Below are 17,098 nucleotides of genomic sequence, written 5' to 3' on the forward strand. Positions count from 1 at the left end.
ACAGCTTCTTCAGAAACAGGAATTAGCTGTATGTTGGCTTCTGCATACCCTCTTAAGATTCAATATGGGGCAGGACACAGTGGCTCACACCTGTAATCTCAGCACTTTGGGAGGCTGAGGCAGGCGGATCACCTGAGGTCAGGAGTTCGAGACCAGCCTGACCAACGTGGAAAAACCCCATCTCCACTAAAAATACAAAATTAGCCGGGCATGGTGGCACATGCCTGTAATCCCAGCTACTCGGGAGGCTGAGGCAGGAGAATCACTTGAACCCAGGAGGCAGAGGTTGCAGTGAGCCAAGATCGAGCCATTGCACTCTAGCCTGGACGACAGAGCGAGACTGTGCCTCAAAAAAAAAATTATTCATATCAATCTGACACATAATTCTATATAACTGTTTTGTCTCGTAATGAGATATCAACAGTAAAATAGCTAGTTTTACACAGTCGTACAAAAATTTCCCATTTTGACTTCACAATTATCCAGCATCAGCTTTAAAGTCCAGAGTTTTCACTGATACACAAACATGTTATTGATTAGTGCCATCCCATAGGTGACACACCGGAATGACAGTGTCTGGAAACTAAATCAAGTTCCTGACCCAAGGATCTCTCTCTATCTGCCCATTTACCTGCAGCCTGTGGCTCCCCTTCCCCAACATGGCTGGGAGTCCTGGAATCTGCTGTTCCCAGTCAGAGTACCAGATACAGAAGTGGTAGAAACTTTGGGCCTTAAGGCTAGAACTTTCACCTCTGTAAAGGGAAGGGGCCAGAGCTGGGAGATTCCTATCATCCAGAGGAAGAGGAGGAAGCTGCTCAAGAAGCTGGCGCCCTTTTGGGCAAGTGTAAGAAATGCTACACTTAAGGCCAGGTGTGGTAGCTCACGCCTGTAAGCCCAGCACTTTGGGAGGCCAAGGCGGCCAGATCACCTGAGGTCGGGAGTTCAAGACCAGCCTGACCAACACAGAGAAACCCCCATCTCTACTATAAATACAAAATTAGCTGGGCATGGTGGCGCACACCTCTAATCCCAGCTACTTAGGAGGCTGAGGCAGGAGAATCGCTTGAACCCGGGAGGCAGAGGTTGCGGTGAGCTGAGATCGCGCCATTGCACTCCAGCCTGGGCAATAAGAGCGAAACTCCGTCTCAAAAAAAAAAAGAAAAGAAAAGAAATACTACACTTAGAGGAGGCTGCTTTGCCTTTCCCTGTCCTTTTGCCAAAGCACCTAACTTTCCCGAAAATATCTTGCCAGGCCTTTTAATTGCCTAAAGTTCAACCAAAACCAAGCCTTTCATTTCACAAAAGAGATAAAAGTCTTAAATAACAGGTACTTGGGAGAGTTAAAAGCTTGGGCTACAGGCAGACTGTAGTGATACCAGATCTTTTCCTGTTTTCCCAGAGCTAAGTTTGGGATGGAGATTGCATCAAAGGAGGCTGATGCTTTGCCACTAGCCTTCTGTGCATAAATTTATTAGCATCTGGTCAAAGAGAGGGTCTCAGAATTGCAGAGCTGAAAGAGACCTTAGAGGTCATCTAGTTCACCCCTCATTTACATATAGGAAGTTGGGACGTTGTCTGTCTGGTTTACTGCTGCATCGTCAGTACCTAGGATACTACTTGGCATGTAGTAGGTATATCATAGGTCTCTCCTGAGTGAATGACATAGGAATTTGTGTGTTACCTTTGTTTTAGAAACTACTAGCTATTTCAAAACCAGGCGCCGTGGCTCACGCCTGTAATCCCAGCACTTTGGGAGGGTGAGGCTGGAGGATCACCTGAGGTCAGGAGTTCAAGACCAGCCTGGCCAACATGGGAAAACCCTGTCTCTACTAAAAATACAAAAATTAGCCAGGTGTGGTGGTACCTGTAATCCCAGCCTCATGGGAAGCTGAGGCAGGAGAATGGCTTGAACCTGGGAGGGAGATTGCAGTAAGCCAAGATCGCGCCACTGCACTCAAGCCTGGGTGACAGAGTGAGACTCTGTCTCAAAATAAATGAATAAATAAAAGAAACTACTAGCTATTTCTAGGGCAAAATCCATAGTGGAGTAATCCCTGAGGTAATTCAGATAGTTAATGGGCAGAGCCAAGACTATCACCCAGATCTCAGCCCAGAGTGCCTATAACGTCACCCTGACAGGTGGAGGCTGTGGAACAAATGGAAGCCGTTCCAAAGCAGTCATATCTCATGTGATCCCATCTACGCGATGAGCCAAGGCAAAGGGCACTGGTGGTTCCCTGCCGTCCTCATGGGCTCCTGCCCTGGGCCTGGTGGTAGGTTCACATGTCAGCAACCACGAGCTAATCTCACCTCACAGTTACTCTAATTTCTCGTGTCTGTCAAGTTTCCCAAGGAGGAGTTGTTTTCCCAAATCAGCCTGTTTCTTTTTATAATATAAGCTGTTTAGAGGCCAGGCACAGTGGCTCACACCTGTAATCCCAGCATTTTGGGAGGCCAAGGCGGGCAGATCACCTGAGGTCAGGAGTTCCAGGCCAGCCTAGCCAACATAGTGAAACCCCATCCCTAATAAAAATACAAAAATTAGGTGGGGCCAGGTGCGGTGGCTCACGCCCATAACCCCAGGACTTTGGGAGGCCGAGGTGGGCAGATCACCTGAGGTCAGGAGACCAGCCTGGCCAACATGGCAAAACCCTATTTCTAGTAAAAGTACAAAAATTAGCTGGTGTGGTGGTGCACGCCTGTAATCCCAACTACTCGGGAGGCTGAGGTGGGAGAATCTCTAGAACCCAGGAAACAGAGGTTGCAGTGAGCCAAGATCATGCCACTGCACTCCAGCCTGCGCAACAGAGTAAGACACTGTCTCAGAAAAAAAAAAAAAAAAAATAGCTGGGTGCAGTGGCACACGCCTGTAATCCCAACCACCCAGGAGGCTGAGGCAGGAGAATCTCTAGAACCTGGGAGGTGGAGGTTGCAGTGAGCCAAGACCGCACCACTGCATTCCAACCTGGGTGACAGTGAGACTCCGTCTCAAAAAAAAAACAAAAGAAAACCAAAAAAAACCTGTTTAGAGCAGGTAATGAAACAACATACAATTTGTTACAGCAATAGAGAGGATGTTCCTTTCCAAATGTCTGTCATTCTTTCAGCAGACGCTAGCACTGTGTGTCTAGTGTCTGCTAGATGCTAAGGATATGCTGTAAAACAAGACCCAGTCATCAACCTCAAGAAGTTTATAAATAAATATTAAGAGGAACAGAAAGGTCATTTTAAGTGTAATAATTGCTCTGATGGGGAAAGCATGAGGTGCTGGACAATCCCATAGCAGAGACAACTAATCCAGCTGGGCCAGGCATCAGAGAAGGCTTTAATGAAGGATGAGGTTTAGGCTGAGACCTGAAGAAAAAGTAAGTGGGGTGGGAAGGAAGAACTTTATAGGTGGAGGGAATACAATTTGCAGAGGCCCAAGGGTGGGAAAGGGCATCTTGCTTTTGTGGGGCTGCGGGTGGTTCGTTATGATTGATTCATAGGTGATAAGGGCAAGAATAAGGCAGAGGGTAGGACTCGTGGGCTTTGCTAAGGAATCTGAACTTCAACCAGAGGACAGTGGGGAACCACTGATGAGCTTGAGGCAGGAGCATGACAAGATCTGGTTATACTTCAGATAATTTACTTGGAGGGAATAGTGGAGAATTGGTGGTGGCGAGAGCCAGATTCCTTAGGAAGCCTTTGAGGTCGTCCAGGTAAGAGATGACTATAGGCCAAATTAAAGGTGTGGATATGACTGGGCGCAGTGGCTCATGCCTGTAATCCCAGTACTTTGGGAGGCCGAGGTGGGCGGATCACCTGAGGTCAGGAATTTGAGACCAGCCTGGCCAACATGTTGAAACTCCATCTCTACAAAAATACAAAAATTAGCCGGGCATGATGGTGGGTGCCTGTAATCCCAGCTACCCAGGAGGCTGAGGCAGGAGAATCACTTGAACCCAGGAGGCAGAGGTTGCAGTGAGCCAAGATCATGCCATTGCACTCCAGCCTGGGCGACAGAGTGAGACTGTCTCAAAAAAAAAAAAAAAAAAAAGATGTGGAGACAGAGGATGGACTTGATTTGAGAAGTGGCAGCGGGTAGTGGCTCACACCTGTAATCCCACACTTTGGGAGGCCCAAGTGGGAGGATCGCTTGAGGCCAGGAGTTAAGACCAGCCTGGCCAACATAGCAAGACCCCCACCTCTAAAAAAAAATTACAGATTAGCCATGCATGTTGGCACACACCTGTAGTTCTAGCTACTCCAGAGACCAAGGCAGGAGGAGTGCTTGAGCCCAGGAGCTCAAGGCTGCGGTAAGTTATGATCGTGCTATTGCCCGGGTGACAGAGCGAGACCCTGTCTCAAAAAAAAAAAAAGGCTGGCATGATGGCTCATGCCTGTAATCCCAGCACTTTGGGAGATGAAGGGGGGCAAATCACATGAGACCAGGAAGTTCGAGACCAGCCTGGCCAACATGGTGAAACCCCATATCTACAAAAAAGAGAAAAATTAGCCGGGCATGGTGGTGGGCACCTATACTCCCAGCTATTCAGGAGGCTGAGGCAGGAAAATCGCTTGAACCCGGGAGTCAGAGGTTGCAGTGAGCCGAGATTGCGCCATTGCACTCCAGCCTGGGCCAGAGCGAGACTCAAAAAAAAAAAAAAAAAAAAGTCATATACAGGATTCAGTGACTGGTGGAACTTGGATAACTCAGAGAGGACACCCAAGTTTTCTTGTGTCAGGAGCTGAGGGACTAGTGGTACCATTCACTGAGATGGGGTACAGAGAGGGAAGCAGGCTACAGAGTTGTTCAAAAGGCAAGTGACTCCACCGGTCTATAGTCTGGAGAGTGAGCTGGGCTGGAGTTAGATTTGAGACTCAGCAGCCTGGAGGTGTTTATTAAGACAAAGGTGGAGAGTGGATAGATTGTCCAGGGAGACAGCCCATGGAGTGAGGAGAGAATCACACCAGGGAGGGATCCTCAGGGCATGCAGACATATAAGGGACAGGCAAAGTAGGAAGATCCAGGAAAGCAACTGGCAGGAAGTCCCCAGAGAGACATGGAACAAGGAATACGGCGTCACAGAAACCAAGGGGAAAGCACATTTTGAGAAGAAGGCTGCAAACAGCAGTATATGGTGCAGCCAAGCAATTGAGACAAGGGATGGAGAAGGCTTACTGCAACCTCCGCCTCCTGGGTTCAAGCAATTCTCCTGCTTCAGCCTCCTGAGTAGCTGAGACTACAGGCGCCCGCCACCATGCCCAGCTAATTTTTGTGTTTTTAGTAGAGACGGAGTTTCGCCATGTTGGCCAGGCTAGTCTCTAACTCCTTACCTCGGGTGATCCACCCGTCTTGGCTTCCCAAAGTGCTAGGATTATAGATGTGAGCCACCACTCCCTGCCTGCTGTTGGGATCTTACCATGGAGACTGTTGGTGACTTTTTTTTTTTTTTTTTTTTGGAGACAACATCTCACTCTGCCACCCAGGTTGGAGTGCAGTGGCATGAGATCACAGCTCACTGTAACCTCGCCCTCCCAGGCTCAAGCAATCCTCCCATCTCAGTCTCCTGATTAGCTGAGACTACAGATGCATGCCACCACACCTGGCTAATTTTGTGTTTTTGGTAGAGACACGGTTTTGCCATGTTGCCCAGGCTGGTCTCAGACTCCTGAGCTCAAGCAATCCTCCCGCCCTGGCCTCCCAAAGTGCTGGGATTACAAGGTCACCGTGCCTGGCTGGTGACCTTGTCTTAAGAGCAGCCATCTCTGGGTAGCAGAGACAGAGCCAGAATGCTGTGGGGGAAGAGTGAGGGGAGGAGGGGAAAGTGGGGCTAAATCCAGGCAACACTTTCCAGAAGTTCAACGGGAAGGGGAAGCAAAAACTGAGGGACTGAGAGGGGGACAGTTAAAGGAGAATGCATAGCAAAGAGCTCGTTTTTTTCTTTTACAATGGGAGAGGTCAAAGAAAAAGGGGATAATTGGCCAGGCACGGTGGCTTACACCTGTAATCCAAGCACTTTGGGAGGCCGAGGCAGGTGGATCACCTGAGGTCAGGAGTTCGAGACCAGCCTGGCCAACATGGCGAAACCCCATCTCTACTAAAAGTACAAAAATTAGCCAGGCATGGTGGCAGGTGCCTGTAATCCCAGATACTCGGGGGGCTGAGACAGGAGAATCGCTTGAACCTGGGAGGCGGAGGTTGCGGTGAGCTGAGATCGCGCCATTGCACTCCAGCCTGGGCAACAAGAGTGAAACTCCGTCTCAAAAAAAAAAAAAGAAAGAAAGAAAAGAAAAAGGGGATAATTGACGGACGGATCCCTGAGGAAGTGGGAGGAGGTGAGAGCCAGAGCCTGGCTGGCGTGAGGCGGGAGAACAGGATGTGCTGCTGTGGGTAAATGTGTAGGAGGGGCAGCAGGAAGAGGGGGCATTCCCATCCAGTGGCCTCTCTTTTCTCAGTAAAGGAGAGGCAAGTTGGCCTACTGCCTGTGTCCCAGGGTCAGAAGGCTTGCCAAACCTATTCAGGGGCCTGTTGCAGTGAGAGGCCTTGCATTTACAGTAGCACCACTCTTTGGGGAAGTCCACCAGCAGCTCCCAGCAGCCTGGCAGGAGGAATGGAAAAAATGAGCAGTTGGTGGTTGAAGTCTTGCATGGTAGGGGTAAGGGGCTAAGCAAATTGTTGGACCAGGCTGGAGAGGGAGGGAAGTGAAAACAAAAAGAGGCCCCCAGAGAGAAACTAACAGGGTCAACCACTTATTGAGGGTCTACTATGACACAGGCAATGTGTAGGGAAAGAGAAATAAAAAGGTATGGCAGGCCGGGCACGGTGGCTCACGCCTGTAATCCCAGCACTTTGGGAGGCCGAGGTGGATGGATCACCCGAGGTCAGGAGTTCAAGATGAGCCTGGCCAACATGGTGAAACCCCGTCTCTACTAAAAATACAAAAATTAGCCGGGCATGGTGACGCACGCTTGTCGTCCCAGCTACTTGGGAGGCTGAGGCAGAAGAATTGCTTGAACCCGGGACGCGGAGGTTGTAATGAGCCGAGATCGCACTGTTGCACTCCAGCCTGGGCGAAAGAGCGAGACTCCGTCTCAAAAAAAAAAGGGCAATAGTTTCCAAACCTGGCATTCTTCAGAATTAAGCTGAAAAAAATAAAAAATGCAGAATCCTGGCTTCATTCCTGGGGTCTAGTAGGTCTAAGGGAAAGGGGGGTTGCACATGACAGTTATGTAGTCAGATCTGGAAGCCTCTTGGACCCATAGAAGAGGCAGAGGAGTAAACAGACGCGTGCAATATATACCGTGGGATAAGGCCATGGCCCTGGTCTGTACAGGCTGCCATGGAAGCCAAGAGGACTTGGGAGTGGGAATGCCGAGGAGATGACAAGGAGCCTTTCCTAGAGAAGGCGAGCCTGCTCTTGAACATGATGATGAGAGACAGCGCGCCACACACAAAGGGAAAGATGCCAAAGAAGCGTTCCACGCACAGGGAACAGCATGTGCAAAGTCAGGAACTCCAGGTCCCTTGGAACACACATGTGGAACTGCAGCTCATTTGGTGTGGATGGAGCACAGCACGTAAACGGGGGTGTGGTGAGAAGTCTCAGGAGAAGGAAGCAAGAACCAGATTGTCTGAGCCTTGTTCACCACACTCCACTTTCCATCCAAAGCACATTCTTCAGAAAGAGCCAGGGACGCCTAAGAGGCCAAGAATCCCAACTTGCACAATAAATAACTTAGAAAGCAGGCTCGGCTGGGCCTGGAAGGGTTAGACCCATCGGCTGGTATAATGCAGCAAATGTGATTTTTGCAGACCACTAGGTGGTGAGCAGTATTTTTGCTGTGACTGCAGACAGCATTCACAGATTTTTAGTTATTTATTTACTTTAAGGGAGAGGCATATGTCCTAAACACGCAAAGAATTATCGAAGGAGCCTTCCTTCTGGGCTCTGAGCCAAAACCAGGATAACAGACAGCCTGAAGTATCACATTTAAAGTATATGGACATTGTGGAAAGATGTTTTTCCCCCATATGGCTTCTCCTCCCTTTTGCCCTGGGCCCTGAAAGCCTGAAGTAGACTCCCACACTCTTTCTCTCCCTCTCTGTTCTCAGAAATCTCCAGACATATATTTGAAGATAAACCAACAAACACAGACATTTCATTTGTTTAGCAAACCGAAAGGTTACGTTTGGGGGGCTGTTCAAGTCATACTCTACCCACTTAACTTTCTGCAGTCTCCAAAATAGAGTCAATCTGTAATATCTTACAAAGTCAGAGTGACTTAGCTTTCAAAATAAACACACAATGATCGGAGGACAACCTAGGACTTTGCCATCCCAGGCCAATGTCATTCCCCAGAAAGGACTCAGGGCTCATTCTGTAATCCTGCTCCAATGCTCAAGGCTAGAGAATGCTTTTTGCCTGCACTCCTGATAATGAAAAGGAAAATCAGACTCTCAGGAGCAGCCCAAGACCACAGCTGGAGTATAAGACTCCATGGCCTCCAGAAACCTGACTCAGGAGCCGGGAAGAAGGCAGAACATTGTCCCCAAGGCATCTCTCAACACAGAGGTATCCATCCCGAGGGCTAGAAAAGATTCTGGAAGAGGAGAATGAAGGATCAAGGAGAAAGGCAGCCTTGCTATCTGAAAGCACAGGGCCCTGACACCACCTGTAGTTAAGCCTTATCTGGTACCCTGCCAGCCAAGGAGTGTCCTCATTAGGCAAATAGGAAAACAGAGGCTGAGTCCCAAAAGTCTGCAGCTTCACTTGACCCTGGGGATCAACTCCTCCTCCAACTGCAAAGGGGAATTTCTTGCAGATAAGCAATCTCCCATTCTGAGTTATTGCAGTCTCTTTTTCTACCCTGCTGACTCTGTGGCCACAGTGCACTTTCCACTTAAAAGAGTTAGGCCAGGCCAGGTGTATAATCCCAGCGCTTTGGGAGGCTGAGGCGGGCAGATCACTTGAGGTCAGAAGTTCAAGACCAGCCTGGTCAACATGGTGAAACCCTGCCTCTGCTGGGTGCGGTGGCTCACACCCAGCACTTTGGGAGGCTGAGGCTGGTAGATCACGAGGTCAGAAGTTCAAGACCAGCCTGGCCAATATGGTGAAACCCCGTCTCTACTAAAAATACAAAAAAATTATCTGGGCGTGGTCGTGGGTGCCTGTAATCCCAGCTACTGGGGAGGCTGAGGCAGAGAATTGCTTGAACCCGGGAGGCGGAGGTTGCAGTGAGCTGAGATCACGCCATTGCACTCCAGCCTGGGCGACAGAGCGAGACTCTGTCTCAAAAAAAAAAAAAGGAAAAAAAAAGAAAGGCTGCTTCTACTAAAAATACAAAAATTAGACGGGCATAGTGGCACGCGCCTATAGTCCCAGCTACTCAGGAGTCTAAGGCACAAGAATCGCTTGAACCCAGGAAGCAGATGTTGCAGTGAGCTGAGATCACACCACTGCACTCCAGCCTGGGCGACAGAGTGAGACTCCGTCTCAAAACAAAAAGGTAGGCTCCTAGAAGGAGGCTAATTGGAAGCTGCTGAGGGGGATGGAAAGTCTTCAATAACAAAGGTAGGAGTGATCAGGAGGGCCTGGGCTCAGAATTCACACCTCTCATTCTGTACCCAGTGTCTCAGGGTAGGTAGAAGTAGCACCCAGGCACTGGGAACCCTGGGAACATTCATCATGGTTAACACATGGTGAGTGAAGGGTTACTATATGTGGGGCATTGTGCCAAGCACTCCCCACGCACGATGTCATTTACGAAAAGACCATGTGGGATGGGAGGAAGCCACCAAGTTATGGCAGGGATGGCAGGAGAAAATCCTACAGCCTAAGACTACAGGGTCCTTGGCTATTATATTCATTTGACAGGGCTGCCATAACAAAATACCACAGACTGAGTGGCTTAAACAACAGAAGCTTATTGTCTTGCAGTTCTGGAAGCTAGAAGTCCAAGATCAAGCTGCTGGCAAGATTGGTTTCTTCTGAGGGCTGTGAAGGAAAAAGTCTGTTCCAGGCTTGTCTCTTTGGCCATCTTCTCCCAATGTCTCTTTACTTAGTCTTTCCTCTATGCATGTCTCTGTCCAAATGTCCCCTTTTTATAAGGACACCAGTCCCACTGGGTTAGGGCCTACCCTACTGATCTCATTTCAGCTTGATGACCTCTTTCAAGACCCATCTCCAAATAAGGTCACATTCTGAGATACTGGGGTTAGGACTTCAAAATACAAATTGGAGTGGGGACAACACAATTCAACGTGCAACAACAATCTCTAACCCAGCCCTCTCTTTATTTTATTTATTTATTTTTATTTATTTATTTATTTATTTTTTGAGATGGAGTCTCGCTCTTGTTGCCCAGGCTGAGTGCAATGGTGCAATCTTGGCTCACCGCAACCTCCACCTCCTGGGTTCAAGTGATTCTCCTGCCTCAGCCTCCTGAGTAGCTAGGATTACAGGCATGCACCAACATGCCCAGCTAATTTTGTATTTTTAGTAGAGACAGGGTTTCACCATGTTGGTCAGGCTGGGCTCCAACTCCCAACCTCAGGTGATCCACTCGCCTCGGCCTCCCAAAGTGCTGGGATTACAGGCGTGAGCCACTGCGCCCAGCTATTTATTTTTTGAGATGGAGTCTCGCTCTGTCGCCCAGGCTGGAGTCCAGGGGCGTTACCTCAGCCCACTGCAACCTCTGCCTCCCAAGTTCAAGTAATTCTCCTGCCTCAGCCTCCCAAGTAGCTGGGATTACAGGTATGTGTCACCACACCTGGCTAATTTTTGTGTTGTTAGTAGAGATGGGGTTTCACCATGTTGGCCAGACTGGTCTCGAACTCCTGACCTCAAGTAATCCCCCCTCCTCAGTCTACCAAAATGCTGAGATTACAGGTGTGAGCCACCGTGCTCAGCCTCCAGCTGTTATTTTTATTGACAAAGTTATGAAAATATTTGAGTGGGAAAGTGATTTGCACAGGCTCCATCAAGTTGACAAAACCAAGATCGGAACACAGGTCTTTTGGGGCCCCCAGCCTTCAGCAGACTTCCCCAGGAGTAGCAGTATTGCCTGCTTTTGGAAACCTCTTCTCCAAGAAGGGAATCCCTGAGCTTGGGCCAGTCTAGGAAGCACCCAGTTGAATCTACAGGCCTAGGACACATGAAAACCCTTTTACCAACCAACATCTGGAAAGGGACTCTGCAATGCCAGGGTAGAAGGAGCCTTATTCATGGAGCTTCATAGAGGCACTGGGTCTTATTTTCTTTGAGACGGAGTTTCACTCTTCTTGCCCAGGCTGGAGGGCAGTGGTGTGATCTCGGCTCACTGCAACCTCCGCCTCCCGGGTTCAAGCGATTTTCCTGCCTCAGCCTCCCGAGTAGCTGGGATTACGGGCATGCACCACCATGCCCAGCTAATTTTTGCATTTTTTTAGTAGAGATGGGGTTTCTCTATGTTGGTCAGGCTGGTCTCAAACTCCCGACATCAGGTCCTCCGTCTGCCTCAGCCTCCCAAAGTGCTGGGATTACAGGCATGAGCCACCCCCTCCGGCTTGGGTCTTATTTTCAATGGCCAGGCCTCTCATTAACGTGGCAGGAATGCAGCCTGTGCGGAGCTCCCAACAGTGCAGTTTGCCAGAAGTTGGCTGGGATTGTGCTGGGTTTCTCAAGGTTCCCCTCCTTGTTCACTCTCTTCAGACCCACCTTTGCCTGCAGCTGGCAAGCAGCTGATAGATCTCTATTTTGCTGTTGTGAGAATTCACCAAAAAGGCACTTCTAAAAGCCTCATGCAACTAGCAGGAGAAACATAGGTTTAGAGCCTTGCTCCTGCAGCTTCAAAAACAAGGAGGCAAAAATTGAGATTGAATATAGCACAGAGTGTGGGTGACACCAAACCACGGACTGAGTTGATAGGCTGCAGGGAAGGAAGTGAAAAGTTCACCTTGTCCTTCCGTCTAACAGAGGACTGCTGGTTTTGCAGAGGTTTGCTTTTTTTTTTTTTTCCATTCAATAAAAATAGCTCGGTGGGACAACATATTATAGCATTCGTGGAAATAAAAACTAGGAACCACATCATAGGATGTTCTGCTCCAAACTTGGCGCTGATCCCCCAGGCAGCTCCAAGTTCCCTCTGATTCAGGCAGCAGCGACGGAGGCCCTCCCCTGTCCCAGGTGGGACCCGGCCTTCAGAGAGGAAGGGAGGTGGTGGTATGAGGCATCAGCTGTTTCCTTTGCCTGTGGGCCAAGATCCTTGCCATGGCAGAAATACAACTTTGTCCCCAGTGTCTGCCTTCTGCACTGTAAAAAGCAAGTTTCCATCACAAAGGGTTGCGATTCAGGAAACCAGGGTTAGAGGCAAACGGGTCTTATTTGAAAATGGTAAAACCTGGCCAGGCCTTGGACTTCCTGCATTGGTTGCTCTCCTGGGACCTGGGACCAGCCCAGCAGGGTGGGGTGGGGCAGCAATGCAGGTTACAGGATGTGAAAGTGGGGACTGAGGTTAGGAAAAAGAATAAAAGGCTGTGACCAGAACACACCCAGCAGAGGCCATGTGCAGTTCTCTTCTTCAGGGTTTCCTGTGGGTACACTGAGAACATTGTGTTCTGGCTGAGAACTTATCCGGCGGAGCCTGCTGCATACGTGGCCCCTGGGTCCTAGTGCTGCCTCTTACCTAGCCTCAGGCCTGGCTCCCCTGCCTGCACCTGCGTGCAGCCCACTGTATGACCCAGGGAGGCTGTCTCCATTGTGTCCTCCTGCTGGGTGAGGCCCCCGGCCACCAGACTCCGAGCACTTAAGATTCTGACCCATCCCGCATTTCCAAAGCATCTTCAGCGTGCCGGGTGCCATCACACAGTCGCGTTTCATATCCCTCATAACAAAACATCCTTCAGATGACAAAACTGAGGTTCAGGGAAACTGAGAGGAACAACCAACATCAGTATTTATTTTTATTTATTTATTTTAGAAAGGGGGGTTTCACTTCCACCCAGGTTGGAATGCAGTGGTGCGTTCATAGCTCACTGCAGCTTCCAACTCCGGGCCTCAAGTGAACCTCAGCCTCCTGAGCAGCTGGGACTACAGGCACGCACCACCACCCCTGGCTCATTTTTGTATTTTTTGTAGAGACAGGGTCTCATTATGTTGCCCAGGCTGGTCTCGAACTCCTGGGCTCAAGCAACCCTCCCGCCTCGGCTACCCAAAATGTTGGGATTAAGACATAAGCCACTATGTGCCTGGCCTATGCCAGTATTTATTTATTTATTTATTTATTTATTTATTTATTTATTTATTTATTTATTTATTTTTGAAATGGAGTTTTGCTCTTGTTGCCCAGGCTGGAGTGCAGTGGCATGATCTCGGCTCACCGCAACCTCTGCCTCCCGGGTTTAAGCAGTTCTCCTGCTTTAGCCTCCCGAGTAGCTGGGATTATAGGCACCCACCACCACACCGGGCTAATTTTTGTATTTTTAGTAGAGACAGGGTTTCACCATGTTGGCCAGGCTGATCTTGAACACCTGACCTCAGGTGATCCACCTGCCTCAGCCTCCCAAAGTGCTGAGATGACAGGCGTGAGCCACCATGCCTGGCTGCCACTATTTATTAAAGGTTCTTGGATGCAGGTCTCATGTCACTTCGGGATAACTGATTTTGAGGCATTATTTCAAACTCTTGCAATGAATGTGAGCATTTTCTCTCAAAGTTTCTCTCCAGGTGATTTTGAGAATAGATGCTTTCTCTTTTTTATTTTTTGTTTGCTTGAGACAGGGTCTCATTCTGTCGCCCAGGCTGGAGTGTGCAGTGGCGTGATCTTGGCTCATTGCAGCTTCAACCTCCCTGGATCAATTGATCCTCCTGCCTCATCCTCCTGAGTAGCTGGGACTACAGGTTTGCACCACCAAGCCCCGCTAATTTTTTTTTTTTTTTTTTTTTTGAGACGGAGTCTCTTTCTGTCGCCCAGGCTGGAGTGCAGTGGTGCAATCTCGGCTCACTGCAACCTCCACCTCCCGGGCTCAAGCAGTTCTTCTGCCTCAGCCTCCCGAGTAGGTGAGACTACAGGCATGCGTCACCACGCCTGGCTAATTTTTGTATTTTTAGTAGAGACGGGGGTTTCACCATATTGGCCAGGCTGGTCTCGAACTCCTCACCTTGTGATCTGCCCGCCTTAGCCTCCCAAAGTGTTAGGATTACAGGCATAAGCCACCATGCGCAGCCAATTCTCTTATTTTGTTGTTGTTATTGTTGTAGAGACAGATCTCACTGTGTTGCCCAGGCTGGTATTGAACTCCTGGACTCAAGCCTTCCTCCCACCTCAGCCTCCCAAAGTGCTGGGATTACAAGGTGTGAGCCACCACACCTGGTTGGTACTTTCTTAATGATTCTCTGAAATAGATAAAAGCTCAGGCAGGTGGGCCCAGAGCTGTCCAGAGGAGCCTGAGCCTGAGTCCCGCCCTGGCCTGCTCAGAGCCAGGAGAGTCTGCCCTCTGCATGAACTCCCTCAACTGCTGATCTGCTGCCATAAGCCTCTATGCAGCAGCCACATCAGCCTCTGGATTCTTCTGTGCTGTGTAAGGTCCTGGAACTCAGAGGCATATGCTGGGTCCCATAGCCAAGGATCAGTGGGCCAGCAGAGGAGAGGGGACTTAGGAGGGGGATGGAGGCTCTCCAGTTAGATCTTTGCAATTCTTTGGGTTTTTTTGTTTGTTTCTTTCTTTGTTTTGTTTTTTTTTTTTTTTTAATAATAAAGACAAGATCTCACTATGTTGCCCAGGCTGGTCTCAAACTCCTAAGCTCAAGTGATCCTCCCACCTCGGCCTCCCAAAGTGCTAGGATTACATGCGTGAGCCACTGTGCCTGGCCATCTTTGAAAAAAAATTTTTTTTTTTTTTGATGGAGTCACTCTGTCGCCCAGGCTGGAGTGCAGTGGTGCGATCTTGGCTCACCACAACCTCTGCCTTCCGGGTTCAAGCAATTCTCCTGCCTCAGCTTCCCGAGTAGCTGGGATTACAGGTGCATGCCATCACGCCCTGCTAATTTTTTTTGTATTTTTAGTGGAGATGGGGTTTTGCCATGTTGGCCAGGCTGGTCTCAAACTCCTGACCTCAGGTGATCTGCCTGCCTTGGCCTCCCAAGGTGCTGGGATTACAGGCATGAGCCACTGCTCCCAGCCCATCTTTGCAATTTTTGAACTAAGTTCTAGATTATACCCTCCCTACCAGATTGCAAATCTCTTTTTCCAAGTCATCTTTGTATCCCGTCCAGTCACACCTTTGCCTTGTGTGTGTGGAGTCCTTGATCCACAGTCATTGAATGACTTGAATTAAAGCCACTCACTAGATGGCCTTTCCCCCAGCTACAGCTCATGGTCACTCAATAACTACACAATGAACACCTACTGTATACTAAGCCCTGGCTGAGATAATGGGCACACAATTGCCAAAAACAAATACACAGAGTCTCTGCCCCTCGTAGAGATCACAGTCCAGTGGAAACAAAGACATATAGTAAGTAGGAGCAGTCCTGAGGGCTCACGATTATCTCAGGGGACCTTGTGATCTGCCCGCCTCAGCCTCCCAAAGTGTTGGGATTACAGGCGTGAGCCACCGTACCCAGCCAATTTTCTTATTATTATTATTTTTTTTTTTTATAGAGATAGGGTCTCACTGTGTTGCCCAGGCTGGTATTGAACTCCTGGGCTCAACGTGCCCAGTTTTAACACTTCCTAACACTTCCTAACGATGTGGTCGTGGGCAAGGCACCAGCCTCAGTTTCTTGCTTTGTAAAATAAACACCTCCTTTAGGCCAGGCATGGAGGCTTATGCCAGGTACCATAGGTGACCGCAGAGCAGGGGGATCCAAGGCTGAGGGTCCAGGAACATTTCCTTGAAGAAGAGACAGATTTTTAAGCTGAGACCCAAAGGGGAGGGAGATAAATCTGCCAGATGAAGGAGACTGGGAAAAGCGGTTTGGGCAGAACTAACAGTGTTTGTGAAGACCCAGAATTTAGAGAGCACGTGGCTCATTTAAAGAACTCACAGGGCCAGGTGAGGTGGCTCATGCCTATAATCCCAACACTTTGGGAGGCCGAGGCAGGCAGATCACCTGAGGTCAGGAGTTCGAGACCAGCCTGACTAACATAGTGAAACCCAGTATCTACTAAAAATACAAAAATTAGCTGGGCGTAGTGGCGGGCACCTGTAATCCCAGCTATTCGGGAGGCTGAGGCAGGAGACTCACTTGAACCCAGGAGGCGGAGGTTGCAGTGAGCTGAGATCACACCATTGCACTCCAGCCTGGGTGACAGACCGAGACTCCATCTCAAAAAAAAAAAAAAAAAAAGAAAGAACTGACAGAAGTTTCCTAAGCCTTCTGAACTCCAGCCAACAGGACGATCTTCCAACCCTCACTCTAGGGGAGACCCCAGGCATTGTTGTTACCAGATAGAAAGGAATCTACTGCTTTTTTATGGCCTTTCCCCAGGCCCCAAACCCCGGTCCTGGGAAACAGAAGGAATCCTCAAAAATGGCTGGGGCACACTGAGGCAAGAATGCCATGGGTGTGGTTGAGAAGGTAGCTTCTGGTCCAGATGCTGGAATCCTGGATTAAGACCCTGGGCAAATCACTTCCCACCTCTCTCTAGATCTCAATTTTCATGCTTCATGGATCCTCGGCATTTAGCACAACGTCCAATACTCCAGCTTTTTTGAATTAATGAACAGCTGCAGTTCCCATTTGTAAAAAGATTCCTTGCAATGCTAAGATTCTGGATCTGAGAGCCACAGTCATGCCTGCCCAGGACTCTTTGAGCAACAGAAGCACCATGAAAGGAACCAGCACAGTGCCCAGCACACCCACAGCAAATGTTTGTTGAACGAATGAGTGTTTCCCCTGAAGTCACTATAAGAGCTGTGATCCTTCCTTACTTTTCTCAACAGCTGCTCTGATCTCCAGCACTCCTAACCCTGTGCAGTTATTGTCACTCACCCACTCCAAGGCAGATGCCATGTTTCATGAAGGTAAACCCTGGCTCATGCCTTTAGTGCCCTATCCTAGAGGAAAAAGATCTAAGATGACTCTGTATGGAGTTGAGAGGTAGTACAAGAAAGAAAAAGACTAAGAGTTTC

At 49.1% G+C, this 17,098-nt stretch overlaps 5 annotated features.

Moving 5' to 3' along the window:
* Positions 8,959-9,038: an enhancer, noted in NCBI's record as "active region_3529". NCBI's record gives its function as "activates an Ori minimal core promoter by ATAC-STARR-seq in GM12878 lymphoblastoid cells {active_cell/tissue: GM12878}" and the evidence as "EXISTENCE:reporter gene assay evidence [ECO:0000049][PMID:35858748]".
* Positions 11,486-12,053: an enhancer, noted in NCBI's record as "H3K27ac-H3K4me1 hESC enhancer chr10:74007658-74008225 (GRCh37/hg19 assembly coordinates)". NCBI's record gives its function as "activates a minimal SCP1, AML or CMV promoter by ChIP-STARR-seq in naive H9 embryonic stem cells {active_cell/tissue: H9 hESC(naive)}" and the evidence as "EXISTENCE:reporter gene assay evidence [ECO:0000049][PMID:30033119]".
* Positions 12,054-12,622: an enhancer, noted in NCBI's record as "H3K27ac-H3K4me1 hESC enhancer chr10:74008226-74008794 (GRCh37/hg19 assembly coordinates)". NCBI's record gives its function as "activates a minimal SCP1, AML or CMV promoter by ChIP-STARR-seq in naive H9 embryonic stem cells {active_cell/tissue: H9 hESC(naive)}" and the evidence as "EXISTENCE:reporter gene assay evidence [ECO:0000049][PMID:30033119]".
* Positions 12,623-13,189: an enhancer, noted in NCBI's record as "H3K27ac-H3K4me1 hESC enhancer chr10:74008795-74009361 (GRCh37/hg19 assembly coordinates)". NCBI's record gives its function as "activates a minimal SCP1, AML or CMV promoter by ChIP-STARR-seq in naive H9 embryonic stem cells {active_cell/tissue: H9 hESC(naive)}" and the evidence as "EXISTENCE:reporter gene assay evidence [ECO:0000049][PMID:30033119]".
* Positions 12,658-12,757: an enhancer, noted in NCBI's record as "active region_3530". NCBI's record gives its function as "activates an Ori minimal core promoter by ATAC-STARR-seq in GM12878 lymphoblastoid cells {active_cell/tissue: GM12878}" and the evidence as "EXISTENCE:reporter gene assay evidence [ECO:0000049][PMID:35858748]".

Source organism: Homo sapiens, chromosome 10 (genome assembly GCF_000001405.40).
Source record: "Homo sapiens chromosome 10, GRCh38.p14 Primary Assembly".
NCBI classification, from domain to species: domain Eukaryota; kingdom Metazoa; phylum Chordata; class Mammalia; order Primates; family Hominidae; genus Homo; species Homo sapiens.